This window comes from Homo sapiens, chromosome 7 (assembly GCF_000001405.40).
Source record: "Homo sapiens chromosome 7, GRCh38.p14 Primary Assembly".
In the NCBI taxonomy this organism is placed as follows: Eukaryota; Metazoa; Chordata; class Mammalia; order Primates; family Hominidae; genus Homo; species Homo sapiens.
In genome coordinates this window covers 125248039-125268276 of record NC_000007.14, presented here as the reverse complement: position 1 = coordinate 125268276, position 20238 = coordinate 125248039, and the positions used below count along the sequence as shown (strand labels likewise).

The 20238-nt window shown below is 38.5% G+C and overlaps 2 long non-coding RNA genes across 3 annotated transcripts in view, besides 4 other annotated features; one reads left to right on the top strand and one right to left on the bottom strand.

Annotated features, from left to right (window-relative positions):
* The window catches only part of LOC101928283 (uncharacterized), a 194753-nt gene that overhangs the window by 111045 nt on the left and 63470 nt on the right, over positions 1-20238 (bottom strand). The gene's annotated exons all lie outside the window — the stretch shown is intronic.
* Positions 2942-3820: an enhancer, noted in NCBI's record as "OCT4-NANOG-H3K27ac hESC enhancer chr7:124904511-124905389 (GRCh37/hg19 assembly coordinates)". NCBI's record gives its function as "activates a minimal SCP1, AML or CMV promoter by ChIP-STARR-seq in naive and primed H9 embryonic stem cells {active_cell/tissue: H9 hESC(naive and primed)}" and the evidence as "EXISTENCE:reporter gene assay evidence [ECO:0000049][PMID:30033119]".
* Positions 3821-4700: an enhancer, noted in NCBI's record as "OCT4-NANOG-H3K27ac hESC enhancer chr7:124903631-124904510 (GRCh37/hg19 assembly coordinates)". NCBI's record gives its function as "activates a minimal SCP1, AML or CMV promoter by ChIP-STARR-seq in naive and primed H9 embryonic stem cells {active_cell/tissue: H9 hESC(naive and primed)}" and the evidence as "EXISTENCE:reporter gene assay evidence [ECO:0000049][PMID:30033119]".
* The window catches only part of LOC101928254 (uncharacterized), a 34713-nt gene continuing 18460 nt past the window's right edge, over positions 3986-20238 (top strand). For both annotated transcript variants that reach the window (NR_110183.1, NR_110182.1), the window contains exons 1-3: positions 3986-4234; positions 18220-18297; positions 19836-19976. This is a non-coding gene — a long non-coding RNA (uncharacterized LOC101928254). The remainder of the gene's footprint in view (positions 4235-18219; positions 18298-19835; positions 19977-20238) is intronic.
* Positions 8893-9878: an enhancer, noted in NCBI's record as "OCT4-NANOG-H3K27ac hESC enhancer chr7:124898453-124899438 (GRCh37/hg19 assembly coordinates)". NCBI's record gives its function as "activates a minimal SCP1, AML or CMV promoter by ChIP-STARR-seq in naive H9 embryonic stem cells {active_cell/tissue: H9 hESC(naive)}" and the evidence as "EXISTENCE:reporter gene assay evidence [ECO:0000049][PMID:30033119]".
* Positions 9879-10865: an enhancer, noted in NCBI's record as "OCT4-NANOG-H3K27ac hESC enhancer chr7:124897466-124898452 (GRCh37/hg19 assembly coordinates)". NCBI's record gives its function as "activates a minimal SCP1, AML or CMV promoter by ChIP-STARR-seq in naive H9 embryonic stem cells {active_cell/tissue: H9 hESC(naive)}" and the evidence as "EXISTENCE:reporter gene assay evidence [ECO:0000049][PMID:30033119]".

Sequence of the window (20238 nt, the reverse complement as noted above, 5' to 3'; positions counted from 1 at the left end):
ATACACACCACTTTAATCCATTTAACTTTTTCAAGTACCAATATTGTACTTCTAACACTAATTGGATCTGAACAGAAAGGCTGAGGTTCAAATAGACTTCCGTGCTCAAATTTTTTATAATATTTTATTTTATATTGTATTATTTTCAAATATGTTACTCTTAATCTCATTCATTTTGAAATAATATCCAATATTCAGTGACATCTCATTTTTTCAAATTATTTCAAATGTCTTCTATCACTTTTATTTTACTTTATTTACTCGGTAATTGACAAGCATCTATCTTTTGCAAACTTGCAGGTACCTAATTTTGTGATTTTTCTCTATTCTCTTTCATTTCTAGTTGCAAACTGATCAATTCTTTCCTCCTTTCATCTCTTCCTTTTAATACATCGCCAAATATAGCCAATAGCAATCAACATATGCTTCCAACCCTGCACATCCCAACTTCTTCCCTCAAAGCTGCAGGTTCATTAGTAATTGACCTGCCTTCCAAGCTATCATAGCAAAAATGTTACCAACATTTTCGCCATTACATAGCATAGATTGCTTGCTTTCCAACAGCCAACCATTATTTATTCACTATCTACCAGTCAGACCCTAAACAAATACCACATATTTAAGTGTTTCCCCTTATGGGAACATTCATTTATACTAGGTTAAGATGTACAACAAACAACTTAATGATGTAAGCACTGAAGGTTAGTTTTTTACTCAAATTTTATGTCCTATGAAGGTTAGCTAAGGCCTCTTCTCTAAGTCATTCTTATTTTGGGACCTAGGCTGAGAAAACAAGAAGATATTTTCTGGAATATTTCCTGGGTACTCTGTGTATCACTTCTTTCTCATGCTGCTAATAAAGACATACCCGAGACTGGATAATGTATAGGGAAAGAGGTTTAATTGGCTCACAGTTCAGCATGGCTGGGGAGGCCTCAGGAAACTTAAAATCATGGTGGAACTGGAAGGAAACATGTCCTTCTTCACATGATGGCACGAAGGAGAAGTGCCGAGCAAAGGGGGAAATACCCCTTGTAAAACCATCAGATCTTGTGAAAACTCACTCATATAACAAGAACAGCATGAAGGTAACCACCCCCATGATTAAATTACCTCCCACCAGGTCCCTCCCATGACCTGTGGAGATTATGGGAACTATAGTTCAAGATGAAATTTGGGTGGGGACATAGCTAAACTATATCACTGTGGCAGAGAAAAAAAATGTAATGGATTATTGCTGTTTTAAAAATCTCAGTTCATAAATGATACAAGTCACTTCTGTTAACATTTCATTGTCCAAAGCAACCTAGACCATAGAGCTTCCCAATTGCAAGGTGGCAGGGAAGAAGGCCCAGACATAACTGATATGGACAGCAATCATGACTACCACATACATTATTTGAATGAAAGTTGTGATACTCATACATTTAGTTTTCTGGTTGAAAATGAAAAGCAGACTTTTTAAGAGAAAATTTAGGCACTATTCATAACTGCATAATACCAATATTCAACTGTGTGATGTTCTGAAATGCAAAACACAACAACAGAGTTTCTTTGTACTGTATGATACAGAATCTTAATGATAAAACCATTACTTTGTCTATGCTTGGATTACTTTTACAATGCAGTTAGTCTCATATTCCAAGAAATTTAGAGGAAGTCATTAAAATATCATTTTTATACAGTACAATATTTATATGAAATGACACTGTTTATCATGCAATATTGCTAATGCTTTAGAAAATGAGAGTGTAAACTACAGTTTTACCACATTTATTTACATCTGTATGAAAAGATGCTGGACTATCTCATAAGGAGATCATTTTCATATAAAAATTAGTTGCATAATAACAACCTTATATGTGAAAGCAAAGTCAGAGTTTTCTTTTCAGAAAAGTGGAAAGGGAATATAATGGTGCATCAGGAAATTAGTTATTTTGTGGTTTTTATTTTAGGGTCAGTACTATTAGTGCCTGTCCCACTGGAATTCCCAAGCACTTGTCTGAGCCACAGTGGCATGGCCTTTGGTGAGGGGTAGAGAGAGCACCATGTTGGACAGTTTCCACATTGGTATACCATGGAAAGTATAGAAACTTTCCAGAATGAGCCTATGAATGGCCTTGTGGTTTACTATAAAGCTACATAATCTACCTATAATTTGGAAATTATAAGATGATAAAGAAAAGAAGGAAGGTAATTGTCACAGAAAAGACAAAGAATTCGTATTGTTAATAATTCATATTCTACAGTGTTAGCAATTTTATAGCATCTTTCAGGCCATTTTATGGACTTTCTTGTAGGAAGAACTTATCATTTTGTAAACAACAAGCTGTCAGAATCAAAAAGGAAACAAATTATATGAGCGACGCCAAACCTGAGATCACCACAGAGTGCAAGACTTATTAAAAATCCATGATTCTATAAAGGGCTTGTAAGAGACAGAGAGAGTAATAAATGAACGAATGGCAAGAACCTATAGTGAGCAATTACTCCTGTAATGATGCCTTAGTGACCTCTAATAAATGCTTAATTTGTTTCTTGGCAGGAAAACATCGTTGGAAGGCCTAAGGTGATATGGTCAAAGTAATATGAACAAAAAATTGCTTTTTAATAGCTACATAATGAAGATTGCAGGACTTTAAAACATTGAAATAAACTCTAATATTTCACATTGCTGTTTTCCTATTCCGTATTCCAAAACTACAATAACGGTGCAACTTTAGTATTTTTGCCATCTATATTTTTAAACAATATTCTTCTAACTCTTCATACTTATTGGAATATGTGAATAACTTTAAGATATACTACTTAATATGGCTTAATATTCCTAAACACAGTGACAAATTTTACTAAATTAATAATTCATAAATATTAGTTTTAGATACACTTAACATGTTTCTATGCCTAAATTATCTTCTATATTTATCATATTCTACCATTCTTGTACTAATTAAAATATATTGTCAAAGAAACTGTCTGCTTAAGGAAATATAACTCTTGCTTTTTTTCTTAATATTTAACTAAGGAAAACTATGAAAAAGTTATATATACACCTGTACACTTTTGATACTGCTTGTCCTGAAATTTTACTTATGTTCACTTCTTTATGTTGTGGCTTCTGAAGAACAAAACATTCCGCAAGTTAGAATTCATGCACAATTAGGTCTTGTTGGGTATATTAGAAGGGTCAGTGTTTAATAAAATCGTTTTCAAAGCCAGACCTTATCTCTTCTTCCATGTTCATGGGTAAAAGCCCAAGTGTCTTATCAGAGGATTCCTTTGTCAGGGAATCTCTGAATGAATGAGCTTCTTATGCATCCCTGATGCTTTCTGATCAATCTCACTGAACGTCATTGCAAGTCCTCTGTAGCTGTACCCAAGTCAGCTTTTAATTTTTATCCTTTGTCTTCATCTTTGATTTAGTTTTGCCATTTTCGAAAGTCCGTCTTGGTCCAAGAGCCCATAGTTTCCTGTCTGCCATTAGTTTCTAATTTCATGTCTTACTGATACAGGTTCATCTACCCCACTCAGATTAGCTCTGGATTCTGGGCTTCAGCTCAGGCCTGTGGTGCTCTTATTCCTGAGAAGGATGTTTAGGCAAGGAGATAAGAAAAGTCAGGTGATTCCACCAGTACCTACTGTCAGGCCTCTGAGCCTAAGCCAAGCCATCGCATCCCCTGTGACTTGCAGGTATACGCCCAGATGGCCTGAAGTAACTGAAGAATCACAAAAGAAGTGAATATGCCCTGCCCCAACTTAACTGATGACATTCCACCACAAAAGAAGTGTAAATGGCCGGTCCTTGCCTTAAGTGATGACATTACCTTGTGAAAGTCCTTTTCCTGGCTCATCCTGGCTCAAAAATCACCCCCACTGAGAACCTTGTGACCCCCACTCCTGCCCGCCAGAGAACAAACCCCCTTTGACTGTAATTTTCCTTTACCTACCCAAATCCTATAAAACGGCCCCATCCTTATCTCCCTTCGCTGACTCTTCGGACTCAGCCGGCCTGCACCCAGGTGAAATAAACAGCCATGTTGCTCACACAAAGCCTGTTTGGTGGTCTCTTCACATGGACGCGCATGAAATTTGGTGCCGTGACTTGGATAGGGGGACCTCCCTTGGGAGATCAATCCCCCGTCCTCCTGCTCTTTGCTCCATAAGAAAGATCCACCTACGACCTCACGTCCTCAGACCGACCAGCCCAAGAAACATCTCAGCAATTTCAAATCCGGTAAGCGGCCTCTTTTTACTCTCTTCTCCAACCTCCCTCACTATCCCTCAACCTCTTTCTCCTTTCAATTTTGGTGCTACACTTCAATCTCTCCCTTCTCTTCATTTCAATTCCTTTCATTTTCTGGGAGAGACAAAGGAGACACGTTTTATCCATGGACCCAAAACTCCGGCGCCAGTCACGGACTGGGAAGGCAGCCTTCCCTTGGTGTTTAATCACTGCAGGGACACCTCTCTGATTATACTTACACGTTTCAAGGGTGTCAGACCACGCAGGGACGCCTGCCTTGGTCCTTCACCCTTAGCGGCAAGTCCCTCTTTTCTGGGGAAGGGACAAGTACCTCAACCCCTTCTCTCCTTGTCTCTACCCCTTCTCTGCTTTTCTGGGAGAGGGGCAAGTACCCCTCAACCCCTTCTCCTTCACCCTTAGCGGCAAGTCCCGCTTTCCTAGGGGGCAAGAACCCCCCAATCGCTTATTTCCACGCCCCAACCTCTTATCTCTGTACCCCAATCCCTTATTTCCGCACCCCAACCTCTTATCTCTGTGCCCCAATCCCTTATTTCCGTGCCCCAACCCTTTCTCTGCTTTTCTGGAGGGCAAGAACCCCCCACCCCTTCTCTGTGTCTCTACTCTTTTCTCTGGGCTTGCTTCCTTCACTATGGGCAACCTTCCACCCTCCATTCCTCCTTCTACTCCCTTGGCCTGTGTTCTCAAAAACTTAAAACCTCTTTAACTCACACCTGACCTAAAACCTAAATGCCTTATTTTCTTCTGCAATGCCGCTTGACCCCAGTACAAACTCGACAGTAGTTCCAAATAGCCAGAAAATGGCACTTTGAATTTTTCCATCCTGCAAAATCTAAATAATTCTTGTCGTAAAATAGGCAAATGGTCTGAGGTGCCTGAAGTCCAGGCATTCTTTTACACATCAGTCCGTTCCTAGTCTCTGTGCCCAGTGCAACTCGTCCCAAATCTTCCTTCTTTCCCTCCCGCCTGTCCCCTCAGTCCCAACCCCAAGCGTCACTGAGTCTTTCTAATCTTCCTTTTCTACAGACCCATCTGACCTCTCCCTTCCTCCCCAGGCTGCTCCTCTCCAGGCCGAGCTAGATCCCAATTCTTCCTCATCCTCTGCTCCTCCACCCTATAATCTTTTTATCACCTCCCCTCCTCACACCTGGTCCAGCTTACAGTTTCATTCCATGACTAGCCCTCCCCAACCTGCCCAGCAATTTACTCTTAAAAAGTTGGCTGGAGCCAAAGGCACAGTCAAGCTTAATGCTCCTTTTTCTTTATCCCAAATCAGATAGCGTTTAGGCTCTTTTTCATCAAATATAAAAATCCAGCCCAGTTCATGACTTGTTTGGCAGCAACCCTGAGACACTTTACAGCCCTAGACCCTAAAAAGTCAAAAGGCCGTCTTATTCTCAAAATACATTTTATTACCCAATCTGCTCCCGACATTAAATAAAACTCCAAAAATTAAATTCCGGCCCTCAAACCCCACAACAGGATTTAATTAACCTCGCCTTCAAGGTGTACAATAATAGAAAAAAGTTGCAATTCCTTGCCTCCACTGTGAGACAAACCCCAGCCACATCTCCAGCACACAAGAGCTTCCAAACACCTGAAGCGCAGCAGCCAGGCATTCCTCCAGAACCTCCTCCCCCAGGAGCTTGCTATAAGTGCCAGAAATCTGGCCACGGGGCCAAGGAATGCCCACAGCCCAGGATTCCTCCTAAGCCATGTCCCTTCTGTGTGGGACCCCACTGAAAATCGGACTGTTCAACTCACCTGGCAGCCACTCCCAGAGCCCCTGGAACTCTGGCCCAAGGCTCTCTGACTCCTTCCCAGATCTTCTCAGCTTAGCGGCTGAAGACTGACGCTGCGCGATCGCCTCGGAAGCCCCCTAGACCATCACAGATGCCGAGCTTCGGGTAACTCACAGTGGAGGGTAAGTCTGTCCCCTTCTTAATCATACAGAGGCTACCCACTCCACATTACCTTCTTTTCAAGGGCCTGTTTCCCTTGCCTCCATAACTGTTGTGGGTATTGACAGCCAGGCTTCTAAACCTCTTAAAACTCTCCAACTCTGGTGCCAACTTAGACAATACTCTTTTAAGCACTCCTTTTTAGTTATCTCCACCTGCCCAGTTACCTTATTAGGCTGAGACACTTTAACTAAATTATCTGCTTCCCTGACTATTCCTGGACTACAGCTATATCTCATTGCCGCCCTTCATCCCAATTCAAAGCCTCCTTTGCGTCCTCCTCTTGTATCCCCCCACCCTAACCCACAAGTATAAGATATCTCTACTCCCTCCTTGGCGACCGATCATGCACCCCTTACCATTTCATTAAAACCTAATCACCCTTACCTCACTCAACGCCAATATCCCATCCTGCAGCATGCTTTAAAAAGATTAAAGCCTGTTTTCACTTGCCTGCTACAGCATGGCCTTTTAAAGCCTATAAACTCTCCTTACAATTTCCCCATTTTACCTGTCCTAAAACCAGACAAGACTTACAAGTTACTTCAGGATCTGTGCCTTATCAACCAAATTGTTTTGCCTATCCACCCTGTGGTGCCAAACCCATATACTCTCCTATCCTCAATACCTGCCTCTATAACCCATTATTCTGTTCTAGATCTCAAACATGCTTCTTTACTATTCCTTTGCACCCTTCATCCCAGCCTCTCTTCGCTTTCACTTGGACTGACCCTGACACCCATCAAGCTCAGCAAATTACCTAGGCTGTACTGCTGCAAAGCTTCACAGTCAGCCCCCATTACTTCAATCAAGCCAAAATTTCTTCCTCATCTGTTACCTATCTCGGCATAATTCTCATAAAAACACACGTGCTCTCCCTGCCAATCTTGTCCGACTGATCTCTCAAACCCCAGCACCTTCTACAAAACAACAACTCCTTTCCTTCCTAGGCATGGTTAGCATGGTCAGAATTCTTACACAAGAGCCAGGACCACACCCTGTAGCCTTTCTGTCCAAACAACTTGACCTTACTGTTTTAGCCTAGCCCTCATGTCTGCGTGCAGCGGCTGCCACTGCATTAATACTTTTAGAGGCCCTCAAGATCACAAACTATGCTCAACTCACTCTCTACAGTTCTCATAACTTCCAAAATCTATTTTCTTCCTCATACCTGACGCATATACTTTCTGCTTCCCGGCTCCTTCAGCTATACTCACTCTTTGTTGAGTCTCCCACAATTACCATTGTTCCTGGCCCAGACTTCAATCCGGCCTCCCACATTATTCCTGATACCACACCTGACCCCCATGACTGTATTTCTCTGATCCACCTGACATTCACCCCATTTCCCCAAATTTCCTTCTTTCCTGTTCCTCACCCTGATCATGCTTGATTTATTGATGACGGTTCCACCAGGCCTAATCGCCACACACCAGCAAAGGCAGGTTATACTATAGTACAAGCCACTAGCCCGCCTCTTAGAACCTCTCATTTCCTTTCCATCGTGGAAATCTATCCTCAAGGAAATAACTTCTTAGTGTTCCATCTGCCATTCTACTACTCCTCAGGGATTATTCAGGCCCCCTCCCTTCCCTACACATCAAGCTGGAGGATTTGCCCCACCCAGGACTGGCAAATTAGCTTTACTCTACATGCCCTGAGTCAGATAACTAAAATACCTCTTAGTCTAGGTAGATACTTTCACTGGATAGGTACAGGCCTTTCCTACAGGGTCTGAGAAGGCCACCGCAGTCATTTCTTCCCTTCTGTCAGACATAATTCCTCAGTTTAGCCTTCCCACCTCAATACAGTCTGATAACAGATGAGCCTTTATTAGTCAAATCAGCCAAGCAGTTTTTCAGGCTCTTAGTATTCAGTGAAATCTTTATATCCCTTACGGTCCTCCATCTTCAAGAAAAGTAGAATGGACTGAAGGTCTTTTAAAAACACACCTCACCAAGCTCAGCCACCAAAAAGGACTGGACAATACTTTTACCACTTTCCCTTCTCAGAATTCAGGCCTGTCCTCGGAACGCTACAGGGTACAGACCATTTAAGCTCCTGTAAAGACGCTCCTTTTTATTAGGCCCCAGTCTCATTCCAGACACCAGACCAACTTAGACTGTGCCCCAAAAAACTTGTCATCCCTACTATCTTCTGTCTAGTGATACTCCTATTCACCGTTCTCAACTACTCATACATGCCCTATTCTTGTTTACACTGCCGGTTTACACTGTTTCTCCATGCCATCACAGCTGATGTGATGAAACCTACTATAATTGAAATGATGGTAAATTATAAACATGATAACTTCAGAATCCCATGAGGGAACAGGATGGCTGAGGTGGGAACCCAATCGCCTAGACAAGCATTTTTAGAACACTAGATGCTATATGGAAATATATGCCCCCCTGGATTTACAGACTCAGGAAACAGACTTGGTAAAACTCATTAATTATAGCTATGTTATATGAGGAGCATGGATAATGTAAAAGAAAGGGAAGAGGATGAACAATAATTCTAAAGTAAGTTATAAGTAATTCAAAGATGAGAGGGTTATAAAACCCTTGACCAAGGATTATGAGTAAATTTCACTTTTAACTGACTCAATGGCATAACGCCTTTCCAAAGAAAACCATAACAAAGACCAAATTGGAATTCAACCTTGGTTTAAAATCCAAAACAATCTTAGACCTTAGACCCATAGCATTCGAATATATTTAAATTTTCATGCCTGTCGGTGTGAAGAGACTACTAAACAGACTTTGTGTGAGCGATAAAGCTTTTAATCACCTGGGTGCAGGCAGGCTGAGTCCGAAAAGAGAGTCAGTGAAGGGAGATAAGGGTGGGGCCGTTTTATAGGATTTGGGTAGATAAAGGAAAGTTACAGTCAAAGGGGGGTTGTTCTCTGCCGGGCAGGAGTGGGCATTGCAAGGTGCTCAGTGGGGGAGATTTGAAGCCAGGATGGGCCAGGAAAAGAACTTTCACAAGGTAATGTCATCACTTAAGGCAAGGACCGGCCATTTTCACTTCTTTTGTGGTGGAACATCATCAGTTAAGGCAAGGACCGGACATTTACACTTCTTTTGTAGTGGAATGTCATCAGTTAAGGCGGGGCAGGGCATTTTTACTTCTTTTATGATTCTTCAGTTACTTCAGGCCATCTGGGCATATACGTGCAAGTCACAGGGGATGCGATGGCTTGGCTTAGGCTCAGAGGCCTGACATAAATGACATACTAAAAAAGCTCAGAGTTATTTTAATTTAAACTTAATTATGAATCATCTCAGTATTGGTCTGGGTTCTCCAGAGGAATAGAATCATATAAATATATATACACACATAGAAACACATACACCCAGCCCTATCTATGGACCTCTTGTCACACACACACACACACACACACACACACACACACACATATATATGCATACACATACACACACACAGAGATTTTTTTTTATAAGGAATTGGCTTATGCAGTTATGGAGACTTAAGTCCCACAACTTGAGATCAGCAATCTGAAGGCTTAGGAGAGCCAATGCCATCGAACTAGTCTGGAGCCTAAAGGTCTGAGACAAGGAAAGCTAATGGTGTGAATTCCAGTCTGAGTCTAAGTCTGATTCTGACTTTGATAGCAAGAGAAGACTATTGTCTCCACTTGAAGATAGTCAGGCAGAGAGAACTGTGAAAGGAAAATAAACCTTGGGGCCCCAAAATCACTAAGCAAAAGGGAAAAGTCAAGCTGGGAACTGCTTAGGGCAAACCTGCCTCCCATTCTATTCAAAGTAACCAGTCCTCTTACTGAGATAAATGCATGGTTGATTGCCTCCTTTGGAGAGGCTAATCAGAAACTCAAAAGAATGTAACCATTTGTCCCTTATCTACCCATGACCTGGAAGCCCCCTCCCTGCTGTGAGTTGTCCCCCCTTTGCTTTGAGTTGTCCCAGCTTTCCAGACTGAACCAATGTTCATCTTACATATTTTAATTGATGTTTCATGTCTCCCTCAAGTGTATAAAACCAAGCTGTGCCCTGACCACCTTGGGCACATGTCATCAGGACCTGCTAAGCCTGTGTCACAGGCATGCATCTTCAATCTTGGCAAAATAAACAATCTAAATTAACTGATACCTCTCTCAGATATTTGGGGTTCACAGAGTAAATTCTCCTTTCTCAGACTTTTTCTTCTATTAACGCCTTCAGTGGATTGCATGAGGGTCACACACGTGTGGGAGGGTAATCTGCTTTACTCAGTCTACCAATTCAAATGTTAATCCTATCCAGAAACACCTTCACCCTCACCCACACACCCAGAATAATGCTCAGTCAAATATCTGGAGCCTCCTATGGCCCAGGCCACACAAAATTAAGGATCACAACCTCCATACAGAGATGAGGTCTTAAATTGGAAATTGTGTCTTACTTTTTTCTGAATGTATAGCTCAATCACTTATACTCACACACTGATCTATCCAAAAACAATTTCGTAAGTATTTCCTTTGTCCTTAGAATTTATCTAAGTGAAGGAGAGAAAATAATTCTGCTCTGCCTGAGAGTTTTTGTCTGTGGAATAGGAAACACTAAAAGGTTGAGGGACCGCAATAAAGTTAATTTTCTTTCTGTGAATGAAAGACAGTGTGCTCTCTCCAGCACAATAATGGTGGCCCTTGAGGATCATACTATAGATTACACAGAGACATTCACTCAACGATATTTATTTTTGGTCTTCAACTATCATAGTGTTGATAGTGATGTGTGAGAAAGAAATGTAGAGTGGCAGTTGGAATGTTTGGGCTGTAACTACTTACTAGGCATTATTTTTGTGGCAATCTTTATAAACTTCTTGAATACACATTTAAAAACTTATGCTAGTCACACATGCATGACACGTAAATTTGAAAGCATTCCACATTATAATAATAAAATAAGTACAAAATATGCTGATCAGAACTATCTTCTTATTTTGAGGGGTAAAAGGAGAGTATTTTGGTGTGTAATTTTTTAGATCTTTTCTTTTCGAATAATTTCAGATTTACCAAAGAGATGAAAAGACAGCATAGTTTTCACTCAGCTACCCCTAATGTTAACACTTTACATAACTATGGTACATATATTTTGGAAATATCCTCATATAAACAAGTAAATCTGTAATAAAAATGAACTTATAAACATTGGCATAAGTGTGAAATCAGCAGCCTGCCTGGAAGCTTAAAAAAAAAAAATGAGTCTCCTAGACTAAGGAATGGATTATATGAGTGAAATTTCATTAACAAGAGAAAGCATTTTAGTACCCTTTAAGGCTTTCAGTAGTGTATAAAAAGTTATTTAGAAACCAGGAGCCACTTCCGCATCTCATTTACCTAACTGATGAGAGATAAATGAGCTCAGCATTTAAAGCACAGCCTGGAGGTATTGTTTTACACATGAACTACAGTCTAACTCCACTAAAAGACAAGAGAATCATTAACTTTCTGCTACCACAGTGCCAGCAGCAGTCACTAACCTTTCCTACCATAAATAGTTTCAGAAATAATAATAGAACAATTATAAATCCTGATTTTCATCACTGGTTTAGTGAATTTTTATAAATCTAAGCCAAAACGCTATAAATGTAATACTTTATTATGTGTAAACAGGATATTGTTATTTATTTAAAATGTCATTAAATCTCACTGTGATAGTGCGAAAATAATTTTTACCACCTCTTGGGAGCTCTTTTTGATGAAGCAACTGAGAGATAAATATTCTGTAGATTGCTTTAAAAACAGATGAAAGTTTCATTTGATGAGAAGCGTGAACATCACCATCATTTGGGTAATGTTGAAATCAGACTTGAGGCTATTGCCAAGACTAGAATCTCCCTTGCTGATACAAAAGCTGGTGATAAAATGTCTACATTTAAAATGAGATAGAATTAACATTAATTTGAAAATACGAGAATGCACTCCAGTCCTCAGCCCTGTAAAGAATCATGTTGCACTCACCCGGCAGTGAGACGGGTGGCATTAACATTGCACACCAGCACAGTTTACATGAACTACTGATTTAAGTCTTACCTTCAGGAAGTCTCATGACAGCTAAATGCTGCCAAATGCTGACACAGAGTTTTATCTGTGTATTTGCTGTTTTCACCTTTCTTAGTAAAGCATCTGTAAGCACTGTGCAAAACAGTATGTAAAGCAATCTTATTAAATTTATTATAATTCATGGATTTTTTATTTTCTAACTATATAACCATTGATAGGCAAATTATAAGAATTTTCTTTCTCCTTTTCTATGCACATGATCTCTACTTTTGTTTCTTTTTTTCTTTTCTCTATTTTGTGTTTGATTTGTTTTATTTTGTTTCTTTTGTTATATTGTCCTGGCTAAACCCTATAGTGAGATGTAGAACAAAAGTAATGATAGGGGTGATTTTTCCTTTGTGCACTATCTGAAGTAGTGGGAAAAGAAAGAGGGCAGAAGGGAAGAAAGTTTTCATATTTTACCATCAAATATGAATGCTCTTAGATTTTTGCAGACAGTCTTTATTTCATAAAAGACAATTCTTTGTACACCTAACATACTATTAATTGTTTTTAAATTATGAATGGGTATTGAATTCAGCAAAGGCATCTTAAAAACTTATTTTGAGATAATCATTTTTAATCTTTTTTGTAGTTATTATGGTAAATAGCATTGACATATTTTTTATGTTAAATCATTCTGTGAGTTTGCTTTGTTATCTTGTTTAGGATTTTTATAACTATATCATGAGAGAAACTTTTGGAATTACAGAGTGGGTGATATCCTTGTCAGATTTTACAATCAAGATTGCGGTGACCTCATAAAAAAGAGCCATTTTCCTATAATTCAGAAGAGTTTGTTTAAGATCGGGGTAATTTATTCAGAAATAAATGGAAGAATACACCAGTGGAGGCATCTGGTATCAGGATTTCATTTGTGAGAGTTTTTTTAAATGCATTGAATATATGTTAGGAATTTAATATAGTTGACACGATTCTGTTTTCACATTTATTCTTCTACATCTTTGGGCCCAATTGAACCCTTTCTTGAGTATTGAGTAAATAACTAGGAGTGTGATTTCTGGATTGTATGGTAAGTCTATGTTCAGCTTCATGTAACACACAACCAAAACGTCTTTCAAATGGTTACATTTTCCCCCTCCACCTCATCAGCTTGGATGATACAATTACATTTTCATGCAGAAATTCTCCTATCTGATTCTCTCTGGCCATAAAAAATGAGATTTCTTTTTTTTTGAAATAATGATCAGATTCCTGGGTAATGCTCAATGAGATGTTGTGCTTTCCAAACCAAAGAGGATCCTAGCCTAGTTAAAGCCTGAGGCCATTTAAAAGCAATCTCCTTATAATTGTCAGCTTATAAAATTGAGTAAGACTATTCAAATTATGTAATGCTGAATGTAAAATGACACTATGCAATTAAAGGTTAACTTCTAACTCTAGAGGTTTTTTTAGTAAAAAAGAAAAAATAATAAAGTTTTGATATTAGAATACTTTTTCCAAGAAGGTTAATCGGAATTTTTTTATTTTACTTTTTGGCTTCCTTAAAATAATTTGTTGTCTTTTGCTGAATTGTTGGATAGATTTCCTATTCTAAGTGTGTGTGTGAGTAAATATATTAGTAAAAAATACACTCCTCTAATGTAAAGTACCTATTTTTTTTTTTTTTTCAGTTACCATGATTTTTTTTCTTTCTTCCTATCTCTAAAAATGTTTACAGTTCTTTTTGTTGCTAGGGTTACTTTTTTTTTTCTGCTCTAATTTCCTTTTCTAAAAGTATCATTATGACTTCTAATTCTTTCTGCCACTATTCATCTCTTATTTGTCAGTGTTCATTCTCGTTTCTTTTACTAGACTCACATTCTTAAGAATCCATTTTGCAGTTCCAGTTTCTAAAGCCAAGCAATATATTCACCTGAATCACCTTCAGTTTTAATTGCTCCCCCACACAATGAGTATTACGGTATTTGAGCATGCTACTGTAGATGATATCATCTATTTGAGAATAACTTAAAACTTCAGATGAACTGTACCTGAAAATATTTTGGTTGAGACTAGCCAGAGCTAACTTATGTCAGAACAGGCTGTCATTATGAGACTAATGGGAACAAAAGTAATCACTCTTTGCCCTCAAATATTTTTCATATTCATAGAATATTTCTTGCATGAATTACTTATTAATCATACTTGAGACATGTCAATACCTGAATTCCTATTACAACATAGAGAAAGGGAAAGAAGAGGAAGGTTTCAGAAATAGCAATGTCAGTTGTAAAAATGTGGAGTAACTATTTTTTTTCCACTGTTGCCAGTGGTTAGCCCTTTCTGAGCCACTATTAGTGCTGTCAAATGTTTACAGCCATGCCTCTGGAGTGTCACAGACTCAGCCAGCCTCTTGCTACTGCCTGTACTCAAGTGCTTTGTCCATTAGAGCTTCTTTCCAGCATTTACAGTTGTGGTACACTGCCTGAACTCATGCGTTTGTGTGCCTTTAGAAAGCTTTTTAATGATATTTGAATAGTGGTACCTCTCAGCTCTGCATATGTTTAAAAAATAAGTTAGTATAGTTAAAAATGAGATGTGGCTTGGCAAATTAAGAAAAGGAATTTGTGGTTGTATTAATTTTCTCAGGCTGATATAATAAGATACCATAGACTGGGTAACTTAAACTACGAATGTTTATTTCTCAGTGGTCTGGAGACTGGAAGTCCAAGATCAGGGTGCCAGAATGGTCAGGTTCTGCTAAAGGCCCTCTTCCTGGCTTATACACAGTCACCTTCTCACTACATCTTCACATCTCCCAGAGAGAGTTCTGGTCTCCTCATCCGCTTATAATGCACCAATCCCATTACAGGAGCACTATCCCCATGACTTCATCCAAATCCAATCAACCTCTCCAAGGTCCCACCTTCAAACATTATCACATTGGGGATTAGGACCACAACATAAAAATTGGGAAAAGGGGGACAGAAATATTTAATCCATATCAGTGGCCATATTGTAAAGGTCTTATGTATCATTCTTTTCTGTCCAATATTTGAAATAAGTGTTAAAGTAGAGGATATTGTGCTCAAATCTGTGGAAAGGAAGACATAGAGGATGAGACATCACAAGAGATCTCTCAGTTCAGGGATAACTGAGACAATTGGGAAAAGAAGCCTGCACTGATAGAGCTATGGAGTGGAGGAAAGTAATTTCATATTTAACATAGGCAGAATAATAAGAATGACTTGGTAACAACTGATACGAGGTTGAAGGAAGGCATTTCAAAAATGTTTGAGCTTTTGTGTTTGGACACCTCGTGAATAATAATGTCATTGGCTTCATTTAATGAAACAGGAAACACAGGAAACTTTAGGGACAAATTTACTTTGGCCTTTTTAGTTTTGCTTATTTAAGAATGTCTATTGCTGTTAAGAAAATCTGCATAAGAGAATAATAGCACACACAAATCATGTCTATATGAGTTAAGGAGCAAAGATGAAACCATGGGATGCACCAACTATTGAGATACGGCTGGAAGAAAGCCAGAAAGACAATGATCAGTGAGCTGAAGGGTGGGTAATAAAATAATGTGTTACAGTGAAGGAAGAAAAGCATGATCAATGTTATCATTCTATAGAGCAGCCTAACTAAATAAAAGGCAATCACTGGATTTAACGATTGCAGGTGCATGTCTATCATATTAAAAACAGAAATCATATCCAAGTGAGTTTACTAGAAAATAAGAAATGAAAGAAAATAAGTGGTTTTGTAGGTTCTCTAACAAAGTTTGTTTATAGAAGGGAGAAAATGAGGGTAGCTGCTTACAAGGAAACATGGTTGTATGTTTAGAGGACATGTTTGTAGATTGAAGGTGAGATTAATATTTCTGAACAGTTGGAAAAAGTGAACGTAAACAGAGGAAGGGTCAGTTTCTCTGTTCAGAAAAAAAGATATAGGGAATGATAAAGATTGCTGGAGGAGAAGACGGATGGACTGCAAATGGTTTGATGAGTGTGAATGACATGCAATGGGTTTATGAGACTTGAAGAGAATATAACATATCCACTGGATGATGTATAATTCAAACAAAAATGAAGCCCCACATGCCAGCCCAAGCATGGAGTTGGATGGGACAAAATAATATCTAGCAACTGAAAGTAATGAAAAAAACATTGCTGTTTACTGTCATCTCTCAGATAATGTCAAAGGGTAAGAAACATATTCTCTTTGTTCTGAACAGCTTTATCAAATTTTATACTTCTGTCATTAGAAATATCTTTCCCTTGAATCACAACCGATTTCCTCAAAATCTCTCCCCTACAACTCTGAATTCCTACTGGTTTTTTTTTAGCCACGATTCTTTCTACTCTTTTTTGAGTATGCAGGCCCTTTTCAATGATGCTCGATTTATGTGTTTGTCTCTTTCTTTTTTTAAATGGAGTCTTGCTCTGCTGCCCAGGCTGAAGTGTAGTGGCATGATCTCGGCTTACTGCAACCCCAGCCTCCTGGGTTCAAACGATTCTTCTGCCTCAGCCTCCCAAGTAGCTGGGACTATAGGCACGTGCCACCATGCCCAGCTAATTTTTGTATTTTTAGTAGAGATGGGGTTTTACTCTGTTGTCCAGGCTGGTCTCGAACTTCTGACCTCATGATCTGCCCACCTCGGCCTCCCAAAGTGCTGGGATTACAGGCATGAGCCACTGCGCCCAGCTGGGTGTGTCTCTTTCTATTTGTTGTCCAAAATTCATGATGCTCTCCTTGTTTTTATCTCTATTTGTTATCTTAAAACTACATCACAGGACAGGTGCAGTGGCTCACACCTGTAATCCCAGCACTTTGGGAAGCTTAGGTGGGTGAATCACTTGAGGTCAGGAGTTCAAGACCAGCCTGGTTGGAAGGGTGAAAACCCGTCGCTACTAAAGATACAAAAATTAGCCAGGCGTGGTGGCAGGCACCTGTAACCCCAGCTACTCAGGAGGCTGAGGCAGAAGAATCACTTGAACCCAAGAGGTGGAGGTTGCAGTAAGCCAAGATCAAACCACTGCACTTCAGCCTGGGTGACAGAGACTCCATCTTACAAAAAAAAAATAAATCTACATTACAAAAAGCCCAAAGGCATAGCAGACACAAAGCAGGTACTCACTAGATGTGGATGAGGATATAGAATCACAATAGAAAAACATAAGAATCTTCTTGATCATAGAGAAAAAAAGTAGACTGAAAATATGCAAATGTAGATATCTTTACCTTGTCAAAGATGGGAAAATAAGTTAATGTTCCAAAAAACATGTTCATCATTTTCTTCTAGAGTTGCTAAAATATTAATAACTCTTCAAGGGTAATTCAAAAACTATATCATTCATAATTTGGGTATATATGTATCTAGAATAAATTACTATGGTATTATATCTTATTAAATTCTCATATATTGCCTCATAAGTCCTACCACATTCCATCAATATACGTGGGTGGTGTAATTTTTAACTCCATGAGGGTATTTGTAAAATCATATTATTTGCTGCAATAATAATAGCTTCTTAAGTATCTGATATGTGCCAGAACCTTCAAAGCATTTACTCTTCAGAACAAACCTAAGTTGTTGTAGAACTCTTATTACCTTTTACAGATGAGGAAATGACAGCATAAAATTAAAAGTAATAAGCTCCCCGTTGAATTGATTCGATTGATGATACAGAACCATAGTAGGCAGAATAGTAACTTCCCCCACCCAATTAAGATGTTCATGGCTTAATTCTCACAACCTGTAAATATGGTATATTCCATCTAAAAAGGGATTTTGCACATGTGACTAAGTCAAGAGTCTTGAGACAGGTAGATTATACTAGATTTTCCAGGTGGTTTCAGTGTAATCACAAGAGATTTTATAAGAGGGAGACAGGAGAGTCAGGGTCAGAAAAGGAGATGTGATTAATGACCCAGAGGTCAGAGGGACTTTAGAATTCCCTGCCTCTCCCAACCTACAGGTTCCAAACCTTATGAATCTACTGTAGCTGATCTAGATACACTTCAGGTCTCAGCTGAGAACTCACATCCTTCTGAAGGTAAGCATTCTTTGACCCACCAAAAAGGAGAAAGTGTTTGTGTCTCTTGTCTGTCCCCACAGCACTCAACACGGTCTCCATGTTGTGCTCCATTCCACATTTCAGAAGTGCAGAAAAATATGAGTACCAAAATTCCTCTTTGGGAGAGTACTGCTTTTTGCTTTTTGCTTTTTTTTTACTATTGGCAAAAACTACATTGACAAACTATGCAGAGTGATTCCAAGGAAATTATCACCAGACTGTTATACATGAGTCTATGAGGGAAATTTATTTTATTTTGCTAAAGGGAAAAGAGGGAAGAATATAAGGAAAAGAAGATTATAAAACAGGGGTGCAGTTAGATGATTCCAGCTGCTATACATTTACTTGTCTGTGCCCTAACATATACCAACAAGTGTACAATGAGTACCTCCAGATAAAGTCATTGATAATTTTGAATTCTCTTTTTACTTCTTTATATTATTAAAAATTCTAAAATGAGCATTTTTACTTTTGAAACTTAAAATAATTACAGGTGTATTTATTTAAAAAACACATATTGGATCTTTACTATGTGTCAGGCATTTTCCCAGGTTCTGGGAATAAAACAGTGAACAAGAGAGACAACATCAGACATCGAGAGTAGAATGATGGTTACCTGAGGCTGGGAAGGGTAGTGGGCAAGTGGGGAGGAAATGGGGATCGTTAATGGGTACAAAAAGTACAGTAAATAAGATCTAGTATTCAACAGCACAACAGAGTGACTATAGACAATAATGATTTAATTGTACATTTTAAAATAAATGTATAATTGGATTGGGTAACACAAAGGACAAATGCTTGAGGTGATGAATATTCCATTTACCCTGATGTGATTATTATGCATCATATGCCTGTATCAAAATATCTCTCATGTAACCCAGAAATATATACACCTACCACCTACTATGTAATAAAAAAATAAAAAATTAACATAGACTATGTCCCTGCTTTCAAGAAGCTTGCATTTTAGTAGGAAGTGTAAAAAAAAAAAAAAAAACCTAAAAATAAGTAAGGCGGTATCAGATAGTGAGAAGTTAATAAGTAGTATACTAGAAAATACAAAGTGATATACTAGAAAGTAAGTCTAGTATATCACTATACTAAATATAGTGGTTACAAAAGGACCTTTTCAGTGAAAAGAAGGCATCATTCAGGTGAAGACATAGGGAGGTGCGTTCCAGGCATGGGGAACAGCTAATGTGAAGTTCTGACAGCAGAAAAGTCAGGGTATGTTCTGGAAGTAAAACAAAGACCAGTGTGGATAAATTGTGATATGGAAGGAGACAGATGGGTAAGATAGGAAGTAGAGTTAAGCAGGGGACAGATTATGTAGGACCTTAGAGTCCAGAATGATGAATGTAGATTTTATTCTCCATGTAGTAATAATAAATTTATTATAAGCATTTCCCAATTTTACTAAGCATTCTTCTAAAATACCATTTTAATGGCTTCACATTATTCTGTCATATGGATGTGCTGAGATTCAATTAATCATTCCCTTATTATTGGATATTTAGCTTATAAGACTTGGGCAAAATCCAACTTGAATCAATTAGTGAAACAGAATGAATCCACCTTTTCACCACTTCAATCAAATGCCAGTTAGTAGCAATTAGTACTCACTGAAGATGATATACGATCCTGAAAATTCTAATCAGGTAAGAAATATGCATTATTTTCCCCGATATAACTTATTTTGACATGTGTGAAAAATAGTAGATGCTTAAATTAATCTCATGCATGTTTGCGACCATCTCTGGAGAGCTATTACAAATCTAATAAGTGAATATGCTAGTATAAATAATGTGATAATTTTAAAAGAGTTTTATTTGAAATAAATAGAATATTCATTTCACAAAAGAGAGCCTCAGGAGATATAAATGTAAGCATAGCATATGGATTATTTGAAAGAATAGTAGA